Source organism: Homo sapiens, chromosome 18 (genome assembly GCF_000001405.40).
Source record: "Homo sapiens chromosome 18, GRCh38.p14 Primary Assembly".
Lineage (NCBI taxonomy): Eukaryota > Metazoa > Chordata > Mammalia > Primates > Hominidae > Homo > Homo sapiens.
The window spans coordinates 5,958,776-5,983,483 of record NC_000018.10 but is presented as its reverse complement, the minus strand read 5'-3'; the positions used below and the strand labels follow the sequence as shown (position 1 = coordinate 5,983,483).

The window sequence follows — 24,708 nt, the reverse complement described above, 5'->3', positions numbered from 1 at the left end:
CACACGTTAGCAGCTTGCCTTTTATAGTTGATAATTAAGAAAAGGGTTGTGTTGGGGTTTCAAGTGTTGGTGTTACCACTGACTTCTCTAATTCACTAGCAGTGATTCGGTTATCTACGACTGGGTAGTCTTTAAGCATTTGCTCCTTAAAATGTAACTGTATTCTAGTGACAGCACTTCCACAGTGGCTATTCCTGAAGTAGAAAGTAGCCGTGTAGAGAAAATTACGGATTCCAAATGCAGTTATTTCCCACAGCAGTGTAAAACAGGTTTGAATACAAGTGTCATTTACTTGAAGAAGAGGCTTACCATATCGTTACAAGTAAGGAGTTTCCTTCATGCTGGAAACGAAGGCCTTAATTTACAAGACTGTGTTTCCTCGTGACGTGAGCAACTTGAGCCTCCCTTAACAAAATCGCATCAGTTTTCATATTACTGTCCATGGTAGGAGTAAAAGACTTAAGGAAATTGTCATCTTTCTGCTGAGGTGATGAAGCCTTCAGCCGGTTTCCTCAATTGCCCCTCGGTTGTTACTGGCATTTCTGATATGATAGCTTTAAACCAGTTACTAAGAAATAATTACTTAGTAGTTATATTTACTAATATGGATAGAAAACATCATTTTCAAATTCTGCATCTTTTGGCCTATTCACATAAATGGGAAAACATAGTAAATTAATTAATTTCAGGGTAAATCATATCATCTCTTATCCCTCTTAAGCATATGTGTGATGAATATAGTAGCTTTGATCCAATCTCTGGACTTTTTTAAAATAGCAATGAGATAGATGTCATTTTTGCCAGCTATTATGAGTATAAAATTAGCATCTGAAATGAACTAATTTATAGCACGTTTCTCAATGTGTATTTTCTGAAACTATGCCGTTGACTCTGTACGGGGCATTTTCCATGACCTCTGGGAGTCTTTATGAAACCCAGGCTTCTGAGTGGCTCTGTCTGTGGTTTCTCTGCTTCTGTGCTTCTGCAAAAAATTCTAATTGAAAGGTGTGAATTTCATGTGACAGAGACCTTGCTTCAGACTAATTGAATGTTCTTGGCTCCTATGCTGACCTGTCATGAGGAAACAACCTCTGGCTGTGTCCACAGCTGGGTAGACCTGGGAAGTCTATTCTGCACTGTAAAGAAAGCCAGAAGCTCAATGAAGAGGCCAGATTGTTTAGGCCGTCTATCAAGTTTAAGAAAAGGGTGGGGTGGCAGGAGCTGGGCCAAAGTGCAGGGGAGTGGGCACCCTGTGTGGGAAGCAGGAGTGCAGGTCTCACTCCGGTGGGAGCTCGTAGCTCCACTAGCAGGACTCTCTTTAAATAGGAGGTTGAAACGCAACATAGAGGGGCTAATTCTATTCCTTCATTATCCCTTTGCTTCATAATTTGTTCTTTAACTTATGCAAGTTACTTGTTCCTGCCATTTAAACATTTCAAGTGTTTTGCTTTCGTTCTTCCTTTTTTTTCCCAAAACACACACACACACACACACACACACACACACACAGAATATTGAAACCTTTTTGTTCCTTTGACTGTTGATAAATAGGAAAAAGATACAGTGTCTGTGCATGTTGCATCGGGAGATATTTATTCTAGAAGAGAATAATAGATGACAGAACAGAATAGCTTTTGTGTGACTTGGAACTGGAGTTTATTTTTAAAAAAAAAATTTTTTTTTTGAGATGAGATGTCACTTTGTCCCTCAGCCTGGAGTACAGTGGCACAATCGCAGCTCACTGCAACCTCAAACTCCTGGACTCAAGTGTCTTCGGAGTAGCTGGGACTACAAGCAGGAGCCACCAAGGCTGGCTTTTTTTTTTTTTCCTCAAAGAAAGGAGTCTTGCTGTGTTGCCCAGGCTGGTCTTAAACTCCTGGTTTCAAGGGATCCTCCTACTTTGGCCTCCCAAAGCACTGGGGTTACAGGTATGAGCCACTGCACCTAGCCCTTGGAACTTAGTTTCCGACAGGACCTGAATCCCATAACGAAGAGCACAGAGCCTTTTGCATGTTTGATCTCACTTCAGTCTTCTTAAAAGTTAGTGTCATTCATTGTTTCTTTTTTCATAATTCTAATAATTTTTAAAGAAAAGACTGAAGTCTATGGAATACCAAGAATACTCATTTCTTTTACTTGTATAACAAAGAACTTTTCATAGTTCTAATAATTTTTAAAGACTGAAGTCTGTGAAATAGTAAGAATACTCATTTCTTCTTTTACTTGCATAACAAAGAAGACTAGCCTTAATTTTATTTTCTATTTGACCCATATATTTTCTAATCATCACAGCCCACTGTGCTTGCTGCCTGTAATTAGCATAAGGTGAGACCAGGCCAAGGAGCCCAGAGAACACCAAGAGGTCAGTGGTGGGAGAGCATATTTGAGTACACACATTTGATTTGTGTGAACAGAGAGAAACCTGAAAAACAGGCAGGAGGGCCTCCTCAGAAAGCTAAGCAGAGGGAAATTTGGTGTGGGCACAGACACCTGGGCATGCTTCCCCAAGCAGCACAGCCAGCAATTGCCATCCTCCGCCTCACTAGCCTTGGTGTATGCGAGAGGGAACACAAATCAGCCCAGGCAAGGGCGGCTTGAGGAGCAACTCATCCTGTGTGCACCGCTGCTTCTGGCTTCTCTGCAAAGCCAGGAAAATGCTGGAAATATGCACAACTCCTACAAGAAGAAAATAGCCCATGAGCTACTTCTTCATTGAGTTTGCCCAAAAGTGAAATGTGAAAAGAAGTGCACAGGCCGGGCACTGTGGCTCATGCTTGTAATCCTGGCACTTTGGGAGGCCGAGGTGGGCAGATCACCTGAGGTCAGGAGTTCGAGACCAGCCTGGCCAACATGACAAAATCCTTTCTCTACTAAAAATATAAAAATTATCAAGGGGTGGTGGTGCAAGCCTGTAATCCCAGCTACTCAGGCAGCTGAGGCAGGAGAATCGCTTGAACCCAGGAGGCAGAGGTTGCAGTGAGCTGAGATCATGCCATTGCAATCCAGCCTGGGCGACAAAAGTAAAACTCCATCTCAAAAAAAAAAAAAAAAAAGCGCAAACTAATTTATTTATACGTTTTCAACAAAAGAATCAAAAGTATACAATATGGTGTACACCTGAGACGGGGATGCTTTGTTTCACTTCCTGGGGGGAATCCTGGCCTCTCACCCTCCCAGAGTGGGTGGGATGACACGTGGCCTTAGGCCTAGGAGAGTTTCTGCTGAGAAGCAGGAAGAGCTGTCTGCAGGGTGCAGGGAGCACATAAGCCTGTGAAAACAGGTGGTTCCCAGAACAAGCCACTTGGCCCTGAGAGCACCCCACAACGCAGACTGACTTTTCTATGTCTGTCAGCACGTCAGCCACTCCATGAGGGGAGCCCTCGGCGGTGCCTAGGAGCCAGCATCTGTGCTGAGCTCTGTGCCAGGGACAAGGCAGCTTTCTGTGCCAGGGACAAGCAGGGTGAGCAGCAGCCCTGTTTTCCCAGAGAGGTGAGTGTGGCCCCTGGAGGCGACGTGTGCCTTTACTGCCTGCCAGGCAGAGCCCAGGTGGCTGTCATTCCTGTACCCTAAGGTGCTCCTTTGACTAGGTCTCCAAGGGTCCCACGCAGGATCCCTGGAAGCAATGTTTATTTTGAGATAAATCTGACAATACCTCCAGGGACCTGTCTTGAGATTCAGATGCTGAGTATTGCAACACAGAGGCTTACCTTGCTAAAGAAGAGACAACCCTTCTTTTCAGGATTATCTGGCCACACCCTGCCCCCAAAGTGTGACTTCTGCCTGTCACCTTCTAAACAGGAATGTACAGGCAGTGTGAGAAATAACCCACTATTGAAGGATTGGAGGAAAAAAATGCCCCTGGTGTGGTAGGCTCTAGGATCAGCACCCCAGCTCCACCCTGGGCTGCTGAATCACTTTTGTCAAGTTACATTGTGTCTCTGAGACTGCTGTGTTATCTGTCAGAGAGGGCTAATAGCACCATCCTTCATGAAGTCACTTGGAGTGAATAAAGCAGATGATTAAGAGGGGCCCAGCACAGGCTTGTTCCCTGGCCTCTGGCAGGGATCATTCCATTTGATCCCAGACTTGTCATTCTGATTGTACACTCCTGGATGACAGGCACGGTGCTGTGCCCTGGGCTGGCTGTGTGTCCACATGAGCCTGGGAACCTTGGAGACACACTGGACCTCAAGAGTTTTTTCAGTCAGGGGTCTCTCTGTTCAAGTTGACCCCTGTGGACCCTCTGCTCAAATGGTGTGCCCAGGGGTCGGGAATGGGGCACATTCCCAGAGAAAAGGGAGGCACAATCCATGAGGCATTCATTCATAGCATGGACAGAGTTGGGGGAGCTCCAGGCTTTCCTTCATCCAAGAAGGATCCACTCTTTTGCCCCTTCCCAAGAGTTATTCCTGCCCCGTTGGTTGTCAGCAAACAGCTATTGAGCACCTCTGTGTACCAGGTGCTGTGCCGGGGGGTGGAGGTTACAAAAACAAATAGAATATGGTGTCTGCCCTCCCAGAGGTAGGTCGTGCTCAGATTTTAAGGCTGATAGCTTATATTCGTTCCCCTGCCCCTCCCGTTGTGGGAGTTGAGAGAGCAGCACGCAGACCTGCTCAGGCTTTTGGACTGGTTGCACTGCCCTCCACCGTAGGCCTGGGTGCCCATATAGCTGAAGCCAGGGCTAACTTCCACATCCATTAGCTCCTCACAACCAGTGCTACATCTACTGTTGGAATTAAAGTACAATTAAACCACGTCCTCAGGCACTGTAATGGCTTATTTTGTGTCCTACTCACAGATGTATAAGGGAGTAGGGCCTTTCAGTTTTGTGCATGCCCAACCCAGCAGGACTTGTTGCTCAGTATCTGCACGTGGAGAGCAGGGTAGGAAGTGACCGGGCAGGAGGATGCCTAAAAAGAAGAAACTTCAAAATAAGAGCCACTCCAGTCTCCTGGTCAGGTTGATGCTGGTGTTCCTTCAGTTATGGTGTCTCCTCTGCCAGTAAAGGTCTAAAAATACATGCTGGGTGATTGGGGTGTAGTATCGATCAAAATAAGTTAATTAATGATGTCTCAAGCTGTGTGAAGCAGATAATAAACTAAAAGATTGCTCTCTAGCCATCAAAAAATAAGCTGCATGGAGGTCTTGTATTGGATGACTAACCTATCAAAAGTTACTATGGATTTTCCTGCACTTTTGTGAAGATGACCCCAGGACTATCTGCTGCTCGTGTATGAAATTGAGGAGTGGGTGAGATTTCATGTTACAAACAACTCCCAGCCTTTTCAGCAATGAGTATATTTGACAAGTAAGACACCACAGGATAAAAACTCACTGTTTTCACTGGTGCAGAATAAGTCAGCATTTGCCACTGCCTTATCTATCCCTGCAGTACAATTCCTCTGAAGGCGCCACAGTCCCATTATGTGTTAAGCACCCCTGCTACACCGCACCATGTGTCAGGTTCACGCTCTGCCATGCAGCTCTGGGGATGAATGGGAAATGGCTGCCCTTGACTTCTTACTCTGTTCATGAGGGCTGAAAAAATAAATGGACAATTTCCATAAAGGGTAGCCAGTGGCAGGGTACCCAGGGGCAGCCTTGGGGAGGCAGGACTTACCTCCTCCTGGGCTGAGGGATGCCACAGAGGGTGATGAGGCCTGAGGGTGGCAAGGAGTCTGTGCCCCAGCCCAAGTGCTCTGGACAGGGCCTGTGCACCTGGAACCCCAAACCTCTGGGTCTAGAGAACCCTAAAGATAGACTTCTGGGATTGGGGATCCCTTGAAAAAGTGCTTGTTGGAATAGTATCAACAGCAGGAACTCAAACCCTGCCCTCAGGAATGAAAGCTGGAGGCTGAGCTCCTTCCTAGAGTCGTGACTGCCTCCTGCTCTAGGACGTGTCTTATCTGCCACTTCCCTGCATATTAAGTGACTTATTCCCTCAGGATGCTACTGTGTTTGCCAATCAGCCCCTTGCAAGAGCCTGCATTGGGGCAGCAAGGCACAGGGAGCCTGATGCTCCAGGCCAGTCAGCCTGGGTGGGAGAAGCGCAGAGGACAGGGGAGGCCATGGCAGCCCCTTGGGGAGGGAGGGAGCTGACTCAGTTCCTGGATGGAACCAAGGAAGGAGACAGAGATGTGCAGAGGTGAGTGGAAGACTCTGGGGCCTAGTTTGGGTAGCCACTGAGGAAACCATGAGGAGACGGAGGCCTGCCTGGAGGAACAGCCGCAGCTTGCAGGGAGGAGCTGGGCACCACAGGGCACATGCCCGCCTGGGAGGAGGGGCCTCTCAGTCCTCAGAGATGCCACTGTGTGGAGCAGGCAGTGGGGCTGAGGCTGGCCTGAGTGCAGAGGGACCACTTCTCCCTGGATGAGGGAGCAGGACTGAGGTGGGAAGGTTACCCATTGAGAGCTGTTGTAAAGCCTGACAGCCGGAGCCCCAAGGATCTGGCTGTCCCCTGGAGGTTGGAGAGGAATGCCTGAAAGATGCCCTCCGGAGTCCAGAGACTCCTAAACTCGGTTCCCTCAGTCCTCCCTGCCAGGACACAAGACCTGGTAAGGAAACAGCAGCTGGGTTGCCGCACACTCCTTTAGCATTGAGTGATTTGGGGTTGGGCAGCGACACTTTTAGAGAAAGTGGCTCTAACTCTGAACAGTTCCTAACCTAGTTTTGAAAGTCATTCTTTGCTTTTGTAGTAAATGAAAAATATCCCTGCCTTCTGGCCTGCGTGCGTTCATTCAGCCTTCATTCATCCACTCAACAGGTATTTGTTGAGCATCAGTTATAAGCCAGACAAACACATGGCTCAGAGTCTCAGGGCAAATGAACCATGGAACCAACACAAGCACCCAAGTCATCCCCCAGACAGACTCTTCCGCTCCTCTAGACTGTCCATGACCTCCTGTCTTCACGCCTTCTGTTATTGGATTTCTGGGGCAGGGTGTAATCCAGGCTACTCAAGCCCTGTTATCATTACTCCACAAGAGTCATGTTAATTGGATCCAGCCACCCAGCCTCTTCCTGCACCCAGGGTGGGTCTGGAGAGAGGCCATGGGCTCAGCACTCTTCTGGACACACACCATCCCAGCAGAAGCAGAATGCTGGCTACTTACAGAGTTTGAAAGTTTCTACTGGCCGTATTTAACGTAATCAGAAGAAACAAGTAAAATTAGTTTTGACGACATATTCTATTTCACCCAATAGATCCAAAACATCATTTCAACATGTAAATCAAGATTCAAAAAATTATTAAGGAGATATTTTACATTCTGCTTTTTCTACTAAGTGATCAAAATCCAGGAGGTACTATAGCACATCTCAGTTTGCACGCTTCACATTTCAGGTGCTCTGTAGTGTGGCTAGTGGCTACTGTTATTGGATAGTACACAGGTGTGGGGCATCCAAGGCTCTTCATTCAACTTCTAACCCTCTCGATAGCCCACTAAGCAGTGGACAATCTCTGACTCTTGTGTGCTTCATCTCCCATATTTATATAAAATTGGTTAAGAGACTGCTTGTGATGAGGGAAGACCAATAGCTAAAATTAGAAAACTGCAGATATTCGTTTATGAATTCTGGATAATAAGGGTATGAGAAACAGAAGACAGTGCAGCAGACAGGCCATGCCCATGTCTGAGGAGCAATATGACTTGGCATCTAAGAAACAGCATGTGCTGAGTGCCTGCTGTCAGAGAGAGGAGCGTTCCTGAGGAGCTCCTGTTCCCATACGGAAATAGACAGTTGTCCTGCACATCATGGTGAAGCCTCTCTTGTTCTGCTTTTTACTTTTGTTTTGTGGATAAAGAAATGGAAATGAAGGGGAATGAGTAGACTCAGAAGCATCAAAATCAAGAGAAGAAAGTGCAGCTGAGAAATGATAGCTTCAAGCACGTTCAGTACGCAGGGCATGAGAACAGGTGATCGTGGGAAGAAAACAACGTTCCCAGCTGAAAAGCCATCTCTGAACATTTCCTTGCTTCTCCAGCAGAAGTCACTATGGAAGCACAGGTCCTGGGTGGAGTAACTTCTCAGTCAGTGCCAGATAAATTGATGGGACTTGGTCGGTGACTGTCACAGATTACACAGTGGGTGAGAGCAATCACATAATTGGATTTGGGGACCGACTGCATTTTTTTTATTTCCTCCTTTTTGCAGCAGAGAACACAGTAGAACTGCTACCCCTTTCATTGAAGAGAAGGTTACTTGTGAAATGGGTCTCCGTTTTTAGTGGGATTAAAAATAACTCAAGGCCCAGTCATGCAGACTGTGGTTTACCATTTATGACTCACTTGCTTCAGTTTTGTTTTGTGAGGCTTTTGTGAAGAAACAGACATATTTTTAAAGAACATTTCCATAAAGGATTTTCCTTCTCATTTGTCAGGGTAGAGCAGAGGTGGGAAGGATGGGTGAGAGGGCAGAGAAGAAATCAGGGACCTACCATTATGTTATTTTCAGACAAAATTAAATCCTTTAGTTTCTAAAAAATATTCTTCCTCTTTTTAAAAAAAAAAAACAAAACAATAGAGACAGGGTTTCTCTGTCACCCAAACTGGGATGCAGTGGTGCGATCATAACTCATTGCAGCTTTGACCTCCTGAACTCAAGTGATCCTCCTGCCTCAGCCTCCCAAGTAGCCAAGACTACAGGTGCATGTCACCATGCCCAGCTAATTTTTTCTTTTTTGTAGAGACAGGGTCTCACCGTGTTGTCAAGTCTGGTCTTGAACTCCTGGCCTCAAGCAATCCTCCCAACTTGGCCTCCCAAAGTGCTGAAATTACAAGTGTGAGCCACTGCACCTGGCTGAATACTTTTCTTTTTAATCTGTGGAATGGGAAGCAGACGGTGCTCTGCCTCGTGTCGCAAGTCTGTTTGGTCGTTTCACTGGAAAGGCAGCCCTAGGTCACACGCTGTCCACAACTGGCAGGTCTGGCTGTCTCAGGCACTCTGGAAAAATTGGCCTTCCCCTGGCTGTGGCGTTCTGACTTTTAAAGGCAGATAGACTTACCAGTGGACTTGCATCTCATCAGGGAATCAACCAGGTTCCAGTGTGTTTATTGCCTCTATAGGAAGGGCAAGCAATGACTTTTCTTTGGAGATGGGTTACTCCTCTCTGAGTGCTGCTAGACTCAAGATCCATGGCCAAGTCTTCCAGTGCTGTGGTCCAGGGCCTCTTCAGACCCTGCAGCTGGACACAGAGCTGAACATATCTGAACATATTGGCCTTGGAAACTTGAGGGTACAGTATATCTGTAAGCACCTTGAATGAAATCTTTAAGCTCTTCATCATATATTTTTTTAAAGGCCATAAAATCCAAAAGAAACACCCATAGCAAGGAAAATGGTAGCAAAACAATTCTTTCAACCAAATCCCCCAATGACAAACCACTGACATTACAAGTTTTATGTATTCTGTTTTCTAGAAGGAGAAGGCATCCTACACGTAAGGACATCTTTATTTATTGTCACATTGGTGTTAGAGGCAAAGGCAGTATTACATATACATTTCATTTTCTGGTGCAGAGAACATTTTGATTAATTAAAATGTTAAAACCTCCAGTAGGAGGGCTGCTTTTGCAGGCTGAATTTCCTTGGCTGACTTTTAGGGGAGCTGGATAGGAGTCATGACGGCAATGAGGTCGTGCAACTGGGAAGCATCTCATGTCCCTCAGCTGTGTTAGGTGGAAACAGGGCTGTGATGCCAGCTCTGGTGGATGAAGTACACAAGTGACCCTTCTGCCCTGTCATTGTGGCAAACATCCTTATCAAATCTGGAAGGCTCCATTTACCCAAAATGCCCAAGATAGAAGAATCTGATCCGTCTGATTTGATGAGAATGGTTTCTGGAAACGGTCTATGCCTTCATCATCAGCTTATGTTCTTTAATTTATTAACAACTTTTTAGTGAGTATCTGATGTGACATAAATCGTGCTGGGCTTTGTAAAAAAAAGTTAAAATCAGTATATTCGCATATTACAAAAATTTATGCAAATTTTAAGTGGATATTTTCAAAAGTGTAATTTTATGCACAGAATTTAAAATAATGCAAATCACCCTAACTTTTAAAAGCCTGTCAACAGTCACATAATTTCTAAGCTGGCAGGCCAAGAGCATTTTAGCATCTGACACGGTTGCCACACATCGGCAACAGGCTGCCTGGGAAGCAGATGTCCACCCTGCAGTGGCAGATCTCACTTCCTTCCACTAGGACTTCTGCAAATGATTTCAGTGGCCACTGCACTGTCATTCCAGGACCACTCAGGTGTGAAATCTGAACACAGCCCTCAAGACCCTGAATCTCAGTCCGGATTTCACATTTTGTGAGTTTCAGACACATTAGCCACACTGGCTTTGGAAGTGGTGTATGTCCCCACATTCACTATCATTACAACTTAAAATACCTTTATAACTTGTAACAGTAACATAATATCTGACATGTATTGAACACGTTATGTACCAGGAGCTGTCCAAATCACAACTCAATGAGGTATAAGTTTTGCTCTTACTCCGTTCTATTCTATTCTATTCTATTCTATTCTATTCTATTCTATTCTATTCTATTCTATTCTATTCTATTCTATTCTATTCTATTCTCTTCTGTTCTATTCTATTCTATTCTATTCTATACTATTCTATTTTTTGTCTCCCTCCTATTACCCCATTTTAGAGTTAGAAAACCTTGATATGTAGAAATTAAGTACCTAATCCCAGGTCACTCAGCTATTATGTAGGGAGATCACTAGGCCACAGAGCTCCTGAGGCAAGTACACACAAGCATTTTTTCAGCTAGACCTGACTATCCCGCCCCAAAATCATCAGCTGTAGAAGACATTAGACCTGCTAAAGAGTACAAAGAAGGCAAAACAGCCCCCGCGAAACACTCCCCAAATGCAAATTAGTCTTGCGTTGTGTTAATTTAGAATCAGGCCGCTTCCCTTTCTCAATCCTGACCTCAAGAGGTTTGCAAATCGCAGTTAAAGTAGTACCTGCCACTGAGTATTCACAACACACTGGGGACCTTGCCAAGCACCTTCTGCCAACTTCTCCTTTTCCCTCACACCAGCCCTGCATGACAGACACTGTCACCTCCAGTCCCATGTCTTCGAGATGACAGAATGGTTATTCCAGATTCCCTATCCAGGGACTCCCTCCTAGACCAACTCAGGTCTTTATGAGTTTTCAAAAGCTCAACTTTAAAACTTTCTGTCTCATGATGTATAATTGATATGGTAAAATTGATAATAGTAAAACATTATCTGTGTTCAACATATAACAGATTCTGGCAAGCATTTCCCAGAACTTGAGGTTGCCTGTAAACAGACACAAGCCCTTATGCCTAGTGAAAACTCTGAACCCCAGGTAGGGGATCCACAGCTCAGCAAGTGCCTGTAGGTCTTTCCCCAGTGCCCATGCAGGACTCCCTTTGGCATATACAGCCTATTCCCCACAGCTTTCCTGCACTCCCAAATTCAGTTTTATTCAGGCTTCCCTTCAAATAGTTTGATTTAATAGGGACACAGGTAACTGTATTCAAAAGCCATAGATAATATAAAGCTAACCTGAGTTCAAATGCACAGCATAAAGCTAGAACTCCATCTCTTTCGTTGTGACCTAAAGGCCATCTTGCTACTTGGACTAACTGAATTCCCCATCTGTCATCTTCCAGAGCCCAGAACCAGCCCTGAGAGTGGCAAGCAGTGGACTGAGGAGCCCCTGGACTGTTCAGCCACACATTAGGTGTCTTTCCAAGAGTCTGCCCCAGCACCCAAAGCAGATAATTTGCTTCCAGAATTATGGTGTGGGAAATTTTCCTGCTGGGGAGCACACAGCTTTCCGGTTTTTGTGTGTCTTTTTTTCTTTTACATTTTTAATGACTTCAGCTTTCATTTGGGAATCACAGAAATCTAATCACCATCACTTGACATATTTGTTCTTCCAATATATAAGATTCTTTCACTGTGTCTTTTCAGAGTCCTATATATTTTGGAAACTATGCATGATTAATTTACCCAGGGCATGAGTTTGAGATACATATATGTTGAGTTTAAGTCCACACTATTTCAGCAAAAACAACTGATTGAGTGATGTGGTTATTCTTTTCCAGAATACAGCCCAGTTTTGGCCCAGGTCTTAATCCCTAAGAGTGCAGGGCTTTAACTCCTGGCTTCCCAGCAAGGTCTTGATCATTTCTGTGTCACTGCAACTGCAGACTGACCCTGTGACTTTCCCACTCCGGGTTTCAAGGGCTTGTTTTGTACATGCCCCTTGTCCAGCCTGACAACTTCATTAAAAAACATTCACATTTGCCAACATACTGCCTTTTCAAGGAAGATGTGAAGTTTCCTTTCAGAACCTGCAGGCTTACATACTGTTGGCTGAACTACACAGAAGAGATAACCTATTTACATACTAAAAAGGTCAGTGTTGGACAATCAGCAGTTAGAGAGGAATTTGCTGCTGCTTGCACCTGGAGCATAAGAATTGGGGAGAAGCTGGCAATTTTGCTGTCTCTTTATCTGTGTAGACAGCAAGCACTGTTAAATATGAGGATGTCTGTTCCGATCCACGAGAGTGGTGTTGCACAGAGAAGCCCAGTGATGGACAAGCTCGCTCGTAGTTTAGAACCTTTCTGATTACTAATGAGTATATGTGACTGTGATCATGCAGGTCAGCCTCACCTACTAAAAGCTGTAATTAATTTGAGGTGGAAATATTTGCATAATGGTTTTTCAGATTCTGTTAGTAAAACAAAAACCATCATAATAGACCTTAAATTATGTGCCTACTGCTTATTTAACCTTCTCTTTGCATTATAAAAGGTAGACTTCTGGAGGGCTTAAAACATTTCCTTTTGTGGTCTTTTCAAAGTCTCTTCTAATATCAGCAGTTTTATTTTGCTAATGTGTGTTGAAAGTATCTTAAAAGATGTCCTTATAAAGGCATTGGTTTTCTCTGAAATCTCTGTAATATTTTTGCTCCTTATCCATTTGTAGATTTAAACTAAATAATTAGGGAATTGAGACCTTTTCCTTAAATGTTGAGATGTAACATAAGATTAAAGTCACTTTTGAAGACAGGAAACCAGCACAGAAGGCTGTTGATAAGTGTGGGGCTGAAGTGCATGGAGATCCCGTTGAAGTCTCACTCCTTGGTTGCAGCAGCCAATCTTGTGCAAACAAACAGCCATTGTCCTTTGTACTTTATAACCATGGTACATTCAGAGCTGCTCAGAAAAGAGCACCCCATCTAAGAGTGCCTGTGTTAGGGAGGTCATGTCTCAGCTTCCGCTGCTTTCCAAAGTCCCTGGCTGCCACAGGATGTCACCCCAGGTGAGGTCATGGTGCGCTGCTGGGGATCTGCAGCAGCAGCAGCTGATATCACCCAGCTTCTCATGGGGACCCTTGCTACATGTCATGTTCAGTATCACTCAGGGGATTTATGAAGCCAGATGTGGACTGAGGCTCATTCTGTCTTTAGAGACTCATGAGGCTGTTTCCAGGAAGAAATTATTCTTTGTGTACATACACATCCCAGATGGTTTGGTGTGCCAATCTGCTTATTAGTCAAATTCTGCACGGTTCCTTGATTCCTCTGACTCCTGATTTAAGGAGAGAGAAGCCAGTGGCAGTGACAAGCGAGCCCTTCATTGGCCATCAAACAGCATCTCATAGAGATTATTTGAATGTGGCTGGCACACAGCCACAGTCTTCTGGGCATGGGTAACATCTGTCTATGACCACTGCTCAAAAACAGACTGGTGGCATAGGGTATGCTTGGGGGTGATGCTGTACGATCAGAAGACGCGGGTTCTGGTGGTGTCTGCACTTTCCGTCCCCTGACTTGGGCCCTCCGGACTGCGGGGCTGACACAGCAGTGCTTGCTCTCTGGGAGCCTGAGCCTCACCCCACCCCACCTCTCTTACAGAATACTCGGTGGAGCAGGCGCAGCAGGTGCTTCACCAGTCAGTGTCCATGTCCACGGTGTCAGCCCACCCTTTTCGGGACCTTCCCCTCGGCAGGGAGCAACACTGCAAGTTGCTTCCAGGCGTGGCTGACATCCGGGCCAGCCAAGTGGCACGTTGGACTGTGGATGAGGTGAGTGGAGCTGCTGGGGGGCCAGGGCTGGGGTGTGCCTGCTGCTGAGAAATAGGCGGAAGGTGCCCACTGACCATTCTTTGATGTCTGGGACAGCGCCCTTTTTCTCTTAGGCATCGCATCTGCCATGTAAACTTTAAAACCTAAATTAGAGGGAGAAGCCAGATATGATTCTGAGGAGATGAGGAAAGCCCACCACTTGCCCAGATGGTTTTGCACCTCCCCTCCGCAGCCTTATTCCAGTGCCCCCCGAGGCCCAGAGCTATCAGCTGGGGCTAATTCAAGCAGAGGGGCTTAAGCCTCCAATTCCATATCAGAGATTTAATTTGGGCAAGCACAAATGTGCAAGCATCTGAGGCTTGCATCCTAGGCACGTGTGCTCTGGGAAAGGTGCCCAGCCCAGGACATCCTGCACCTCAAGGATCCATTTGCCAGTTGCCCTGTGGTCTTATGGGATCCAGGCACACTCATGGCAGAGCAGGCCCCTGCTGCAGGTTTGCTCATCTAAAGCTACAAGATGAGCAGGCCCACCTTCGCTTCATTTATAAAGTATATTTGGTCACAACATTGTATGAGAAGCTGCACAGAGGGGGCAAGTTGGATCAGATTTCATTATAAACATGCCTTACAATATTGGTTATTTTACATTTTATTTTATTTTATTTTATTTTATTTTATTTTATTTTATTTTATTTAGAGACAAGGTCTTGCTCTGTTACCCAGGCTAGAGGGTAGTGGCATGATCATAGCTCACTGCAGCCTTGAACTCCTGGACTCTAGCGATCCTCCCACTTCAACCTCCTGAGTAGCTAGGACTATAGGCATGTGCCACCACACCTAGCTAATTTTTTTTGTTTTGTGGATACGGGGTCTCATTATGTTGCCCATGCTAGTCTCGAACTCCTGGCCTCAAGCGGTTCTCCCACCTCAGCCTCCCAAAGCACTGGGATTACTTGCAGGAGCCACCTTGCCTAGCTTCAATATTGGTTATTAATAAGGAACAGTTAAGCCCCATTGCTTTACAATAATGCTGTAGAAATGCTTCATATTTAAAATGTATTATTTAAGGAATATACCACTTACCTGTAATTCCTTTGGATAAAGATACTGTTTTTACTAGTCAGGCCTTAGAGAAACTGTTGTTTAAGTGAAGGAAAACCCTGGGTCACTCTGAGGGCAAGATTAGAGCTACAGCTGCAGTTAAATTAGTCACACAATGTTCCTGGAGCACTTACTTCAGTCAGCTTAATCTTGGTTTAAGTCCGCCTTCCCAGCCTTGGGCCAAGGAACAGGCAGGCCAAAGCCCACCCAGAAATTGGAGACACTGAGTGTGTCTCCTCTGCCCTCTTTGTCACTGGGCTCATGGCCCCCTGGCATCATGGCCCCAGTTCCATTCCCACCTGTGTGTGCAGAGCAACAGAGTCCAGATCGTGAGGAACGTGGTGGAGAAGGCAGAATTCTGGGCATGTCTCTGCCCAGCTTACAACAATCCCTGGCTCCCCCTGGCGCCCTTCACAAGTCCCCTTTTCCACCCTTGCTTGTCCTGCCATTCTTGCCGTCCCCTCCTGCCCCAGGGAGTCCTGCTGCCCCGGCCTGTTCTTACACTCAAACAGTCCCGCCTTCTCCCACTCTGCCCACTGCCAGCAGCAGCCTGGGGCTCCATGCTCACTTCCAACTCTTGCGGATCCTCGGTCTGAGCCAGAGGTCACCTCTGGCAGGGCATCTGCACTCTGGCCTGACCTCGCACTCACTTGGCATGACATCTTGAGAACCCCTCACTACACTCTGCACTTAATAGGCACCTGGTAAATGTGTGTTGAATGAATGTTGAATGACAAGGAAATCAATTGTGAACTGAATTTTGAAAAAAAATGGAATGTATCTAATCAGAAACAAAGAAGGGAAGCCATTTCAGTTGATGGGGAAACAGAGGTGGCTGCATGGAAGTGAGTTTCACAGACTTAGTGATGGCAGACGTGCACCACGCCCTGTGCAGGCATTAATCATGATAAACCAGCTATATGAATATAATGACAGTAAGGCGGATACTCACTTTCCCATTTTACTCATGGGGAAGTTGAGATACCCAGAGACGAAGTGACTTGCATCAGGCCACAGTCAGAACCAGGCCATGAGCTGACTTCCTGCCCACCATGCTCATTGTGGCCCTGGGCACAGAGGAAAGTAACCCAGGACCGGGAGATGGGCCTGGTTTGAAAGGCCGCAGAGGCAGGGCAGAAAGTGTGCACAGCCCACAGTCTGCTGGACAGAGCCGTTCTGGGTTCTTATGCGGAAAGTCACTTTGTGAAGATGGCGTTTCAGGAAGATGAGAATTGCACAGATCTGTAGAGAATAAGACGAGAAGAGGTGGATGAGAAGGAGACACCCAGGAAGTGGAACCATCAGGGCCTTGGTGGGGCACTGCCAAGAAAAGAACTCAGATTCAATAGACATTTCAAAGGCACAGGCAGTAGCACAGGGAGGTAGATCAGACATAGAAGAAGAAAAAGTGAGACGTGCCAAATGCCATTCCATTTACAGTCTCAGCACTAAACAGTTTAGTACTTAATTGGGGTAATAATATGTGAGAGCTGAAAGACCCAAAGAGTTCATCTGAAGGAATGGGGAAAGAGTGGTGCCATTAGAAGTGAAATTTGGGGCAAAGTCCAGTTTGGGGCCAGGAGGATAACGTGATGACTGCATTATTGGACACGTGACTCATGGTTAGCAGTCCCTGTGAATCACAGTAGTGGATATAGAGATGTCCCAGTGGACATAAACTCAAGATGGGTGCCCTTAAAGGCTGCAGGCAGAGGTTACCAAGGTGCATTTCCCAAGGTGTGAGTGTCCAGAGATAGGGTGAGGATGGGTCGGCAGGGCCCCAGTTAGAAAGAGGAAAGAAGAGCCGCAAAGGGGCACTGACTTCCAAGGAGTCCCTGGAAGCCGGGTGTCAGGGGAAGATGAAACCAGAGTGTGCGGTGCAGCAGGACAGGTGTCAGAGCTGGTCGGGTTTTGAGGCTGGGTTCCTGGAGTTGTGCCTCAGGGAATTTGGAAAAATTGTGTACAGTATATGCATTTTTAATGGATAAGGGCCAGAGCTTTTATTAACTTCTCAGGGGTGCCATTATGCAATAAGAATAGACACCACTGTTAGGGACATTAGCAGTGACTAGAAAATGGGAGCTATGATTGGACAGATTTCAAGCGTGGCACTTAACAGAAACAAAATCACGGGATTGGGAGGTGATTCAAGGGAAGTAGCTGGTCTAGGTGAAAGTGTCATTAGGACAGAGAAGATCTCAGAAGGAGGACCAGAGAAAGAGAAGCTGTTAGGAAGATGAGAGCCCCGGTCTTTAGTTCTCTGTTGTGGGTACAGGTGGAATCTCAGCCCTTGCTGCTGGGAGAGGCCTTAGAGCTTTTCTAGATTTAAAATATGAGCCATGGGAAAGTCTAAGTGCCTCGCATACAATGCTCCTGCACCTGTTGCTTCCATAACCTTGTCTTCCGTCAGGGATGCACTCCAGGGAAAACCATTTTCATTATTCCCTACTGTTGAGCATATCTTAGTCTTGCTGTCTCCCCAACTAGATGCCCTGAGGACAAGGACCGCATCCTGAATTTCTTTCCATGTCCTCACACACTACAGCACATTTCCCAGTACCAACATAGGTCCTCAGGAATAGTCTCTGATGGGTTGAAAATGGGGGCTTTGTGATTGCTGTGTTTGTATCTTTGAAAATAAGGGAGCTACTTAGGGGACCCCAGTGAGTACCTACCCACAGCAGAGTGTGGGGCTGCTTAGAGAGGCCACAGTAAAAATGACGAGCAGGGCAGCAATGATGTGAATGGCAGTTCAGGGCTGAGCTGGACTGGTGGGGGCTCAGGGGTGCTTTTGCGCTTTGTCAGCACTGGGTGTTTCGGAGAGGAGCCTCCGCAGCCAGGGATGGGGCGTGTTGGAATGAACTGGGCATCCTTCGGGAAGACTTAAAACAGCGTGTCTGCAGCAGAAGGTTAAGTGAAAGCACAGCCTCTTTATCTGCCTTCCTGGCCTGGGAGGAAGACCTCTGCTGTGCTTATGCCACCTGTGAAGAGAGGCTAGCGCAGGGCCTTTGTAACACTCCACAGAGCTGTGAGCTGCCTCTTAACTCCTTTGTTACTATGGCTGTCTCTCTTAGAGCAGTGTTTTTCAAAGTGTAGGTAGGCTTTGAAGTCAACTTAGTGGTTATAAAATGAAAGACCAGACGAGATGAGAGCACTTCATAGGTTATAAGGATTGTTGCTTTGTTAAACTTTGGTGAGGGATGTGTGTGGGTGTGCACATGTGATAAGTTGTGGAGGTGTAAAGTATGTGTCTTACTCTGGGTCATGAAAATATCTTGTACAGGAGTATAAGCTTTTATGAGTAGGGACTAATATAGTTTCATATATTTTTATATCTTTGAATCTTTTGCTATCTTATTGCAAAGCATCTTGCACAGAAGAGGTGTTTGACAAATGTTCGAGTGAGTAGATGAGTTCATGAATGAATAGGCAGGTGGGTTTTATGTAGTCTGTTCCCTGATTCTGCCAGGTATATATGTGTAGGCACACGCGGGCAGGCAGGGCGTGATATGTGGTGTGCACATTTACCCCCCTAGGTATGACTCAGGTATGCTTGGTGCACGTATGGGTACTTTTATTTCTCTTATTAAAAACCACTTCTTAAAGCACCACATATAAATTGCCCTAGCCTCAACCAAGTGCTCCCTAAATGTTCATTAACTTTGAAAGATGGCAGTCACTTTAAAAGCAGCCTTTACACAGGAAGGGGTGATTTGAAAAATTCGGGGTATTGCTCATAAGCAGAGCAGCCTTATACAATTGGGCCCTTAGAAAAAAAAAAGGCAAATAAACTCTGCTGTTAAAGAATAAGACTCAGGCTGGAAACATGGTCCCCAGTGGACGATTAGCCAGTAGAGTCAGGCACATATCTACAGGCTCAGCGAGATAGAGAACACCAGCATTTGGAAAGATTTAAAGCAGCGGCAGCCCCACGGAAGAACATGAGTCCTGCTGAGCTCCAGCGATGATGCCAGGGAAAGTAGGTCGTGGGGGAAGTGAGGTCGGCTGGCAGGATGGGCTCCTCTCAGAGCCTGGGCAGTGTCATCCCTCCCAGTCTCCCCAGACTGCTGTCTCATACTTAGAATTAACTTTCTCAGTGTCCTTCCAAAACAAAACAGGGATTTTAGCTGTAGGACACTGCGTGCCTGAGAATGTGGGAAGTGCTGGTGTGTCAGTGGTCACAGCACTGTGGGGGACACCTCCCAGAGCCAAGGCCAAGGGGAGACACCCACATGGCAGCCCCCATGCCACCAGGCACTGCCCAGAGCCAAAGCCAAGGCCCAGGCCACCCACTGGGCTCCAACAGCATGATCACCCCCTTTGAAAAAGGAGATGACCCCACTGCCATGGCTTCTGTGGGTGCAGGGCAAGTGGATGGTCGTTTCCTCTTCTGCAGAGGTCATGCCCCTCTGGACAGCTGTCCACATTTTACCACAAACTTGAAGAAAAAAAATCTCTCTCTTTTAAAGGGAGAATGAGAGGGAAACTTCTTGATATTACTCTATTCTATGCTAAAGCTCACCACTTTCATTGAGAAAATCTGTGGCAGAACTTTCTATGAAAGCTCAAAATACAATTTATTTGTAGGGGAAGTAATTACCGACTAATAATACTGAATCAAGGCCTTTGCATATTTTAAAATTCTTGGCCAGAGAAGTCTGCTTAATACAGTTCATGGAACTTTTTCCTTACTTTGGAAAAAGACAGATAGGCCGAATCAAATGGGAATCTCTTTCCAAAATGGCAGAGCCTTTCAGAGGAGTGTGAAGCCGAGGAGGGTGGCCAGGTGGAGGATGAGGTGGAGGTGGCAGGTGCTGCTTGCGGGCCAGGTGGAGGCCACCACGGGGCAGGGCCGCGTCTGCTCTGTTGACGCTTTGGTTTAACACATTATTTATTCCCTTTAAAAAAATCCAGTCTACCTTTCAGACATTGACAATGATTTCTTGGCTAATGATACTGAGAAGGGAGACTGTGGTCCTTTTTTTGTTTGCCCAGAAAAGGACAGTTTAACATAGGCAAATCATCAAAGCAACTTGCAACACTTCTGCTGTGAACAGTCCTTTGGGCAAGTATGGAAAAGAGACCATGTTTCTAACCAACCACTTCTTTCCCTACCAGTGGGGAAGCCACTGTCCCTGTGCTGACTTGGCTTTCCCACTGCAGTGAGTGGTTGACATCTGACAAAACATGGGTCGTTAGCTAGTTACTGGTCCCTTGTCTCTATTTCTATTATTTCCTCCTATGACACTATGAAAAAGTGAGCCCAGCAGAAGAACTGGGGCAATGTTGCCCCCCAGGGGCATTTGGCAATATCTGGGCATATTTTTGGTTGTTACAACTCAGAAGGGGACTTTCCTACTGGCACCTAGTGAGTAGAGGGCAGGGATACCGTTAAACATCCCACCCCACCCAGGACAGCCCTCACAGCAAAGAATTACCTGGCCCGAGGTGTCAGTATTGAGGTTGAGGAACTTGGCTTTACAGCATTTTCCTGCGCTCATCTTTGATTCCTGCCCTGCCTAGCCCTGAGGCTCAGCATGAGTCTGTACAGACCCTGCTGGACCATTTCTCTAGCTTCCTGCAGCGCTGTGGTCCTTGGCCCTCAGTGCACACTGGAACCAACTGGGAAGCTCTAAAAATATCTACCCAGTGCTTGGACCCAATCCAACTCCATTAATTTATCATCTGTGTGGTGTGATGCCTGGACTGCAGTCAGCGTGAAAGCTCTGCAGAGGATTCCAGCGTCCCACCAGGGTGGAGTGCCAAGGCTCAGGGCTCCCCGCTGCTGTGGAGGAAGTACAGACCCACACCTGGAACCACGTGGCCCTCCCTCTTCCCGCCACTCCCTGTCTACTCCTCAGCTCAGCCAAACTGCATTCCTCCTGCTGCTCACACCCACCCTTTGGCCCTGTGTTGTCCTGCTTTGGGGTTTGCTGGGATTCTCTATGCCTAGAATTTCTTCCCCGTACATCCACCCCAAATCGCCGTGGTGGAAATACTATGAATCCAACAGTGAACCTCTCACAGACCCCCTTCTTCCTGATGACCTTCCTGAAGTCCCACCTAAGATTTGTGCAGTCCCTTCCTAACACCCATAGCCTTCCTACCTCTCTCAAGGGTGTTAGCATGTTTGAACACATGTTGTGGTCAGTGATAAGCTTTCCTGTCCTCCCTGTTCCCCTCAATCCTCCACCGCTAATCAAATCAACTCATTGAAAATTCAAGCACCACCAGCTCCCAGGGCAGCTCTTCCAGCAGCCAGCATGAGGCCTCACACATAGACAGGGTTGGAGTATATATAGCCAGCACAGTTGTCTGAGGAATGACGGAGCCAGGCCACCCTCAGTGTCCTGGGCCCCAGCCATCTGCCACCAACAGCACTGCCACTGCCATCACCTGCCCCAGTTGCCCTGTCTCTGCAGCTTGACCAGCGGCATTCCACAGCTTTCACTAGCTCCCAGCAAATACTGAGCACGTGCTCTACATGCTTCCTTCTCACCTAGAACAAGAAAACTGTATTAGCCCAACAAACAGCTCGGCTTCCTCTGCCTGAACTGCCAGAGTGTCAGGTTCTCAGGTGAATTAGCTCGTAATACTAAGAGCCCGGGCCAGCAGAGGCACTCACTAGCACAGATGCTCCTGGAGCTTGGAGGTGTCCTTGCATGACAACAATATGGCTGGTGTGGGAGGTTTTTTTGTTTGTTTGTTTTAATCCTTATCACTCCAAACTTTAGGTGAAGATTGTAAAATGACTCATGAATGTATTTGTAGCACCAGGGTTGAGTAAAGCAGACATGGACATGCTGATCACCCCTAAAAAAAGATATTCTGAACTCTTCACATTTGCACAGACTAAATATAGCTGTGAGACCACAGGGGACAGAGCTCAGGAGGGGGCACAGGTGTCCAGCCCTAGGGTATGCCCTGAGGGAGTTGGCCCTGACTGCTCTGTCACCTGGGATCAGCAAACACCTGGTGCTGTCTCCTGCACCGTCAGGGGCAGCGTCTGCTGACTTCTCCTGGAGAGGCTTGGAGGGAGCCTGTGCTCACAGAGCTCTCTGAGGGTGGGACGTGTTGATAACTGCGCTCTCCAGCCTCAAGAACCTTTCCCGTGAAACCAGGGAGAGGAGAAGGGCCAGCACACACAATTCGGTTGACACAAGAAGCAGAGAGCCAAAAAGAATAAAACAAGCAAAACAGTTCCCCTAGAAGTATCACCTCCCAAGATTACATTTACTGTTGCACTTCATTCAGCCTGCCTTTCATCCCCTGCTGCGACAGGACTGGAGCTAGCCAGTAGTGCAGACCACTCAGTTGTCATTTCTGCTGTTGGGAGTCTACCCTTTATCAGGTTTGTTCAATCGGCTTCCCAAAGGTATCTATTAGGAACACTCAGTGGCTTCCCGAGCTGATAGCCAGATCTTTGCCTGAGCTCTCTCTTATTAAAAGGATATCTGGGGGCATGTGGGGGCATGGTGAGGGTGAGAAGTTGAAATGAAGAGACTGATTCTCCAGAACTTAGGGCCTAGAGATAGCAAACCCGAATTCCAAAATGTCTCTGCTACTTATCAACCGTATGTGGCCTTGGGTAAGTACTGAACCTCTTTTGGCTTCAGCTTCATCATTTATGTGGGAATTCAGCTCCACATAGATTCTCTGATCTCCTGTGATTCACCATGCTCCAGGTAAGGGACTGGGCCACAGAGATGAGCAGGAGAAGGCCTTGCCTTCGGGTCTGCCTTTTAAAGGCAAGTGAGCAGGTCCTTACTCCTAATGGTCGCTGTGATGACTGCTGCACAAGACCACTGGCCTCGCCCTCACTGACCCCATGGGGGAGTCAGGAGAATCAGATGCAGAAGCTTGCAGAATGCCAGAGCTTCACATATGGAGGCTATTACTGTCGTCATTATAACCATAACCCTCTGCAGGTCAGCCCGGTAATAAGAGGACAGAAAAAATACTGGGGGCTGGTCTAATTTCTGAGTTGACAAATGCTAATGCAACTTGATAGTTACTATTTAATTCCCAAGAGTTTGAGAGATTTTAAGTATATTTTACTTAAATGTTGGATTACTGCAACCCCCAAATTATTTCAGGTGCATGTATTAAATTAGGCTTTTCATCTCGCACTGTAGGTGGCTGAGTTTGTACAGTCTCTTCTGGGCTGTGAAGAGCATGCCAAGTGCTTTAAGAAAGAGGTAAGAGATGCAAAAATTATATATATATATATGTATATATATATATATGTGTGTGTATATATATATATGTATATATATATATGTATGTATTTCTATACTTCTAGACCCAGAAGTGTTTTGTTTTCATTTACTTAAGTGTAAATAAGTACAATTTGGGGGCAGCAAGACAAAGGAGATCCAGCAGGAATAGAGCCCAATTATGCAGTGTGAGACCAAGCTGGGTCAGTCTCCGCCTTCAGTCCTCTTACATTTTGCTAGGTTTTGTTGCAGAATGCCATGGTGCTTGGTGCATACAGCATGCTCAGTACGTATACTATTTGCTGGAAGAGTAAATGAAAAAGATAATTAATTAATACCTATCAGTGTCATGAGGCCTCTCCATTGGTGGCTTGAAGCCATTTGCGGGAAGGCAGGAATCCTCCCTTGGGATTGCACCTGGGAAAGATTGGGGATTTGTCTACTCCAAAGTCAGCATGGGACCCTCCTATCTATCCCTGCCCTGCATTTGCTTCCAGAGCAGCCCCAAATCCTTCTACGGGGTTTCTATCTCCTGTCCCCTCTTGGTTGGGAATGTACTGAACTGCTTCGCATATTTCCTGGAATTAGTATCCATAGCTATAGGGGCCCCGGAAGAGACTGGACCAGCTACAGAATGATGCACATACTAATCCCAGTGCTTGTGTATCAGGGGCTTGCCATGTGCCAGGCATGGTGCTAAGCATTTTACAACCATTATCCTTTGATCCTTGTGACAACACTACAATGGCAGCTTACCGATGAAGAAGCTCAGGCCCAGGAAGGTGAGGCAGAGCAAGAAAAGGGCAAGAAAAGTCGGATTCCAGCTCATATCCATCTGAGAGCTCAGAGCCTCCATCGCTGCTCTAGAACTTTCCAAGAAAACCATCCTCATAGAAACTGAAAGGCAGCACATACCTCTCCCTCTCTCAGGTTCAGAGCATGCATGAGTTAAGGAAGTGCTGAGTTTTGGGTTCTGGACCCCTCCGAGCACAGTAGAGGAACTCAGCATCAAGGTCAGATAGCCTCAGTCTGGGTAGCTGCTACCTGTGGGGTTCGCCTGGCTCTGCCTGAGCTCAGCATGGCTTGGGCATAGTTGGCCACGTTCACACATACAGTCTACTCTGCAGGTAGCGATGATCAAGGCTTGCTTTGTCCTCAAGTCTGTCCACGTAGGGTAAGAGGGAGTGGCTTTTTGCAGGTTGAATTGCTTATATTTGGCACTCACTGACCAGTACTGTCACTTTAGGCAGATTGCTGAACCCCTCTTATCCCTCCTCTCTGAAACACAGATTTACGAGAG

General features: G+C 46.5%; 1 protein-coding gene and 1 long non-coding RNA gene across 24 annotated transcripts in view, besides 4 other annotated features; one reads left to right on the top strand and one right to left on the bottom strand.

The window, feature by feature from the left end:
• The window catches only part of LOC121725015 (uncharacterized), a 93,648-nt gene that overhangs the window by 5,891 nt on the left and 63,049 nt on the right, over positions 1 to 24,708 (bottom strand). The window lies entirely within an intron of this gene.
• Positions 1 to 24,708, top strand: part of L3MBTL4 (L3MBTL histone methyl-lysine binding protein 4) — a 460,543-nt gene that overhangs the window by 431,776 nt on the left and 4,059 nt on the right. For 18 of the 22 annotated variants that reach the window (NR_158610.2, NR_158609.2, NR_158611.2 and 15 more), the window contains 2 exons: positions 13,922 to 14,091; positions 23,328 to 23,390. Coding sequence is in view for 19 of the 22 variants with exons in the window: in NM_001365765.2 (NP_001352694.1) it covers positions 13,922 to 14,091; positions 23,328 to 23,390 (233 nt within the window). In the remaining 3 variants the exon portion in view is untranslated. The remainder of the gene's footprint in view (positions 1 to 13,921; positions 14,092 to 23,327; positions 23,391 to 24,708) is intronic. The other 4 variants (NM_001365768.2, XM_017026074.2, NM_001365769.2 and 1 more) reach the window with 1 other exon arrangement.
• Positions 3,070 to 3,159: an enhancer, noted in NCBI's record as "active region_13058". NCBI's record gives its function as "activates an Ori minimal core promoter by ATAC-STARR-seq in GM12878 lymphoblastoid cells {active_cell/tissue: GM12878}" and the evidence as "EXISTENCE:reporter gene assay evidence [ECO:0000049][PMID:35858748]".
• Positions 3,360 to 3,529: an enhancer, noted in NCBI's record as "active region_13057". NCBI's record gives its function as "activates an Ori minimal core promoter by ATAC-STARR-seq in GM12878 lymphoblastoid cells {active_cell/tissue: GM12878}" and the evidence as "EXISTENCE:reporter gene assay evidence [ECO:0000049][PMID:35858748]".
• Positions 18,005 to 18,505: an enhancer, noted in NCBI's record as "OCT4-NANOG-H3K4me1 hESC enhancer chr18:5964978-5965478 (GRCh37/hg19 assembly coordinates)". NCBI's record gives its function as "activates a minimal SCP1, AML or CMV promoter by ChIP-STARR-seq in naive H9 embryonic stem cells {active_cell/tissue: H9 hESC(naive)}" and the evidence as "EXISTENCE:reporter gene assay evidence [ECO:0000049][PMID:30033119]".
• Positions 18,864 to 19,364: an enhancer, noted in NCBI's record as "H3K4me1 hESC enhancer chr18:5964119-5964619 (GRCh37/hg19 assembly coordinates)". NCBI's record gives its function as "activates a minimal SCP1, AML or CMV promoter by ChIP-STARR-seq in naive H9 embryonic stem cells {active_cell/tissue: H9 hESC(naive)}" and the evidence as "EXISTENCE:reporter gene assay evidence [ECO:0000049][PMID:30033119]".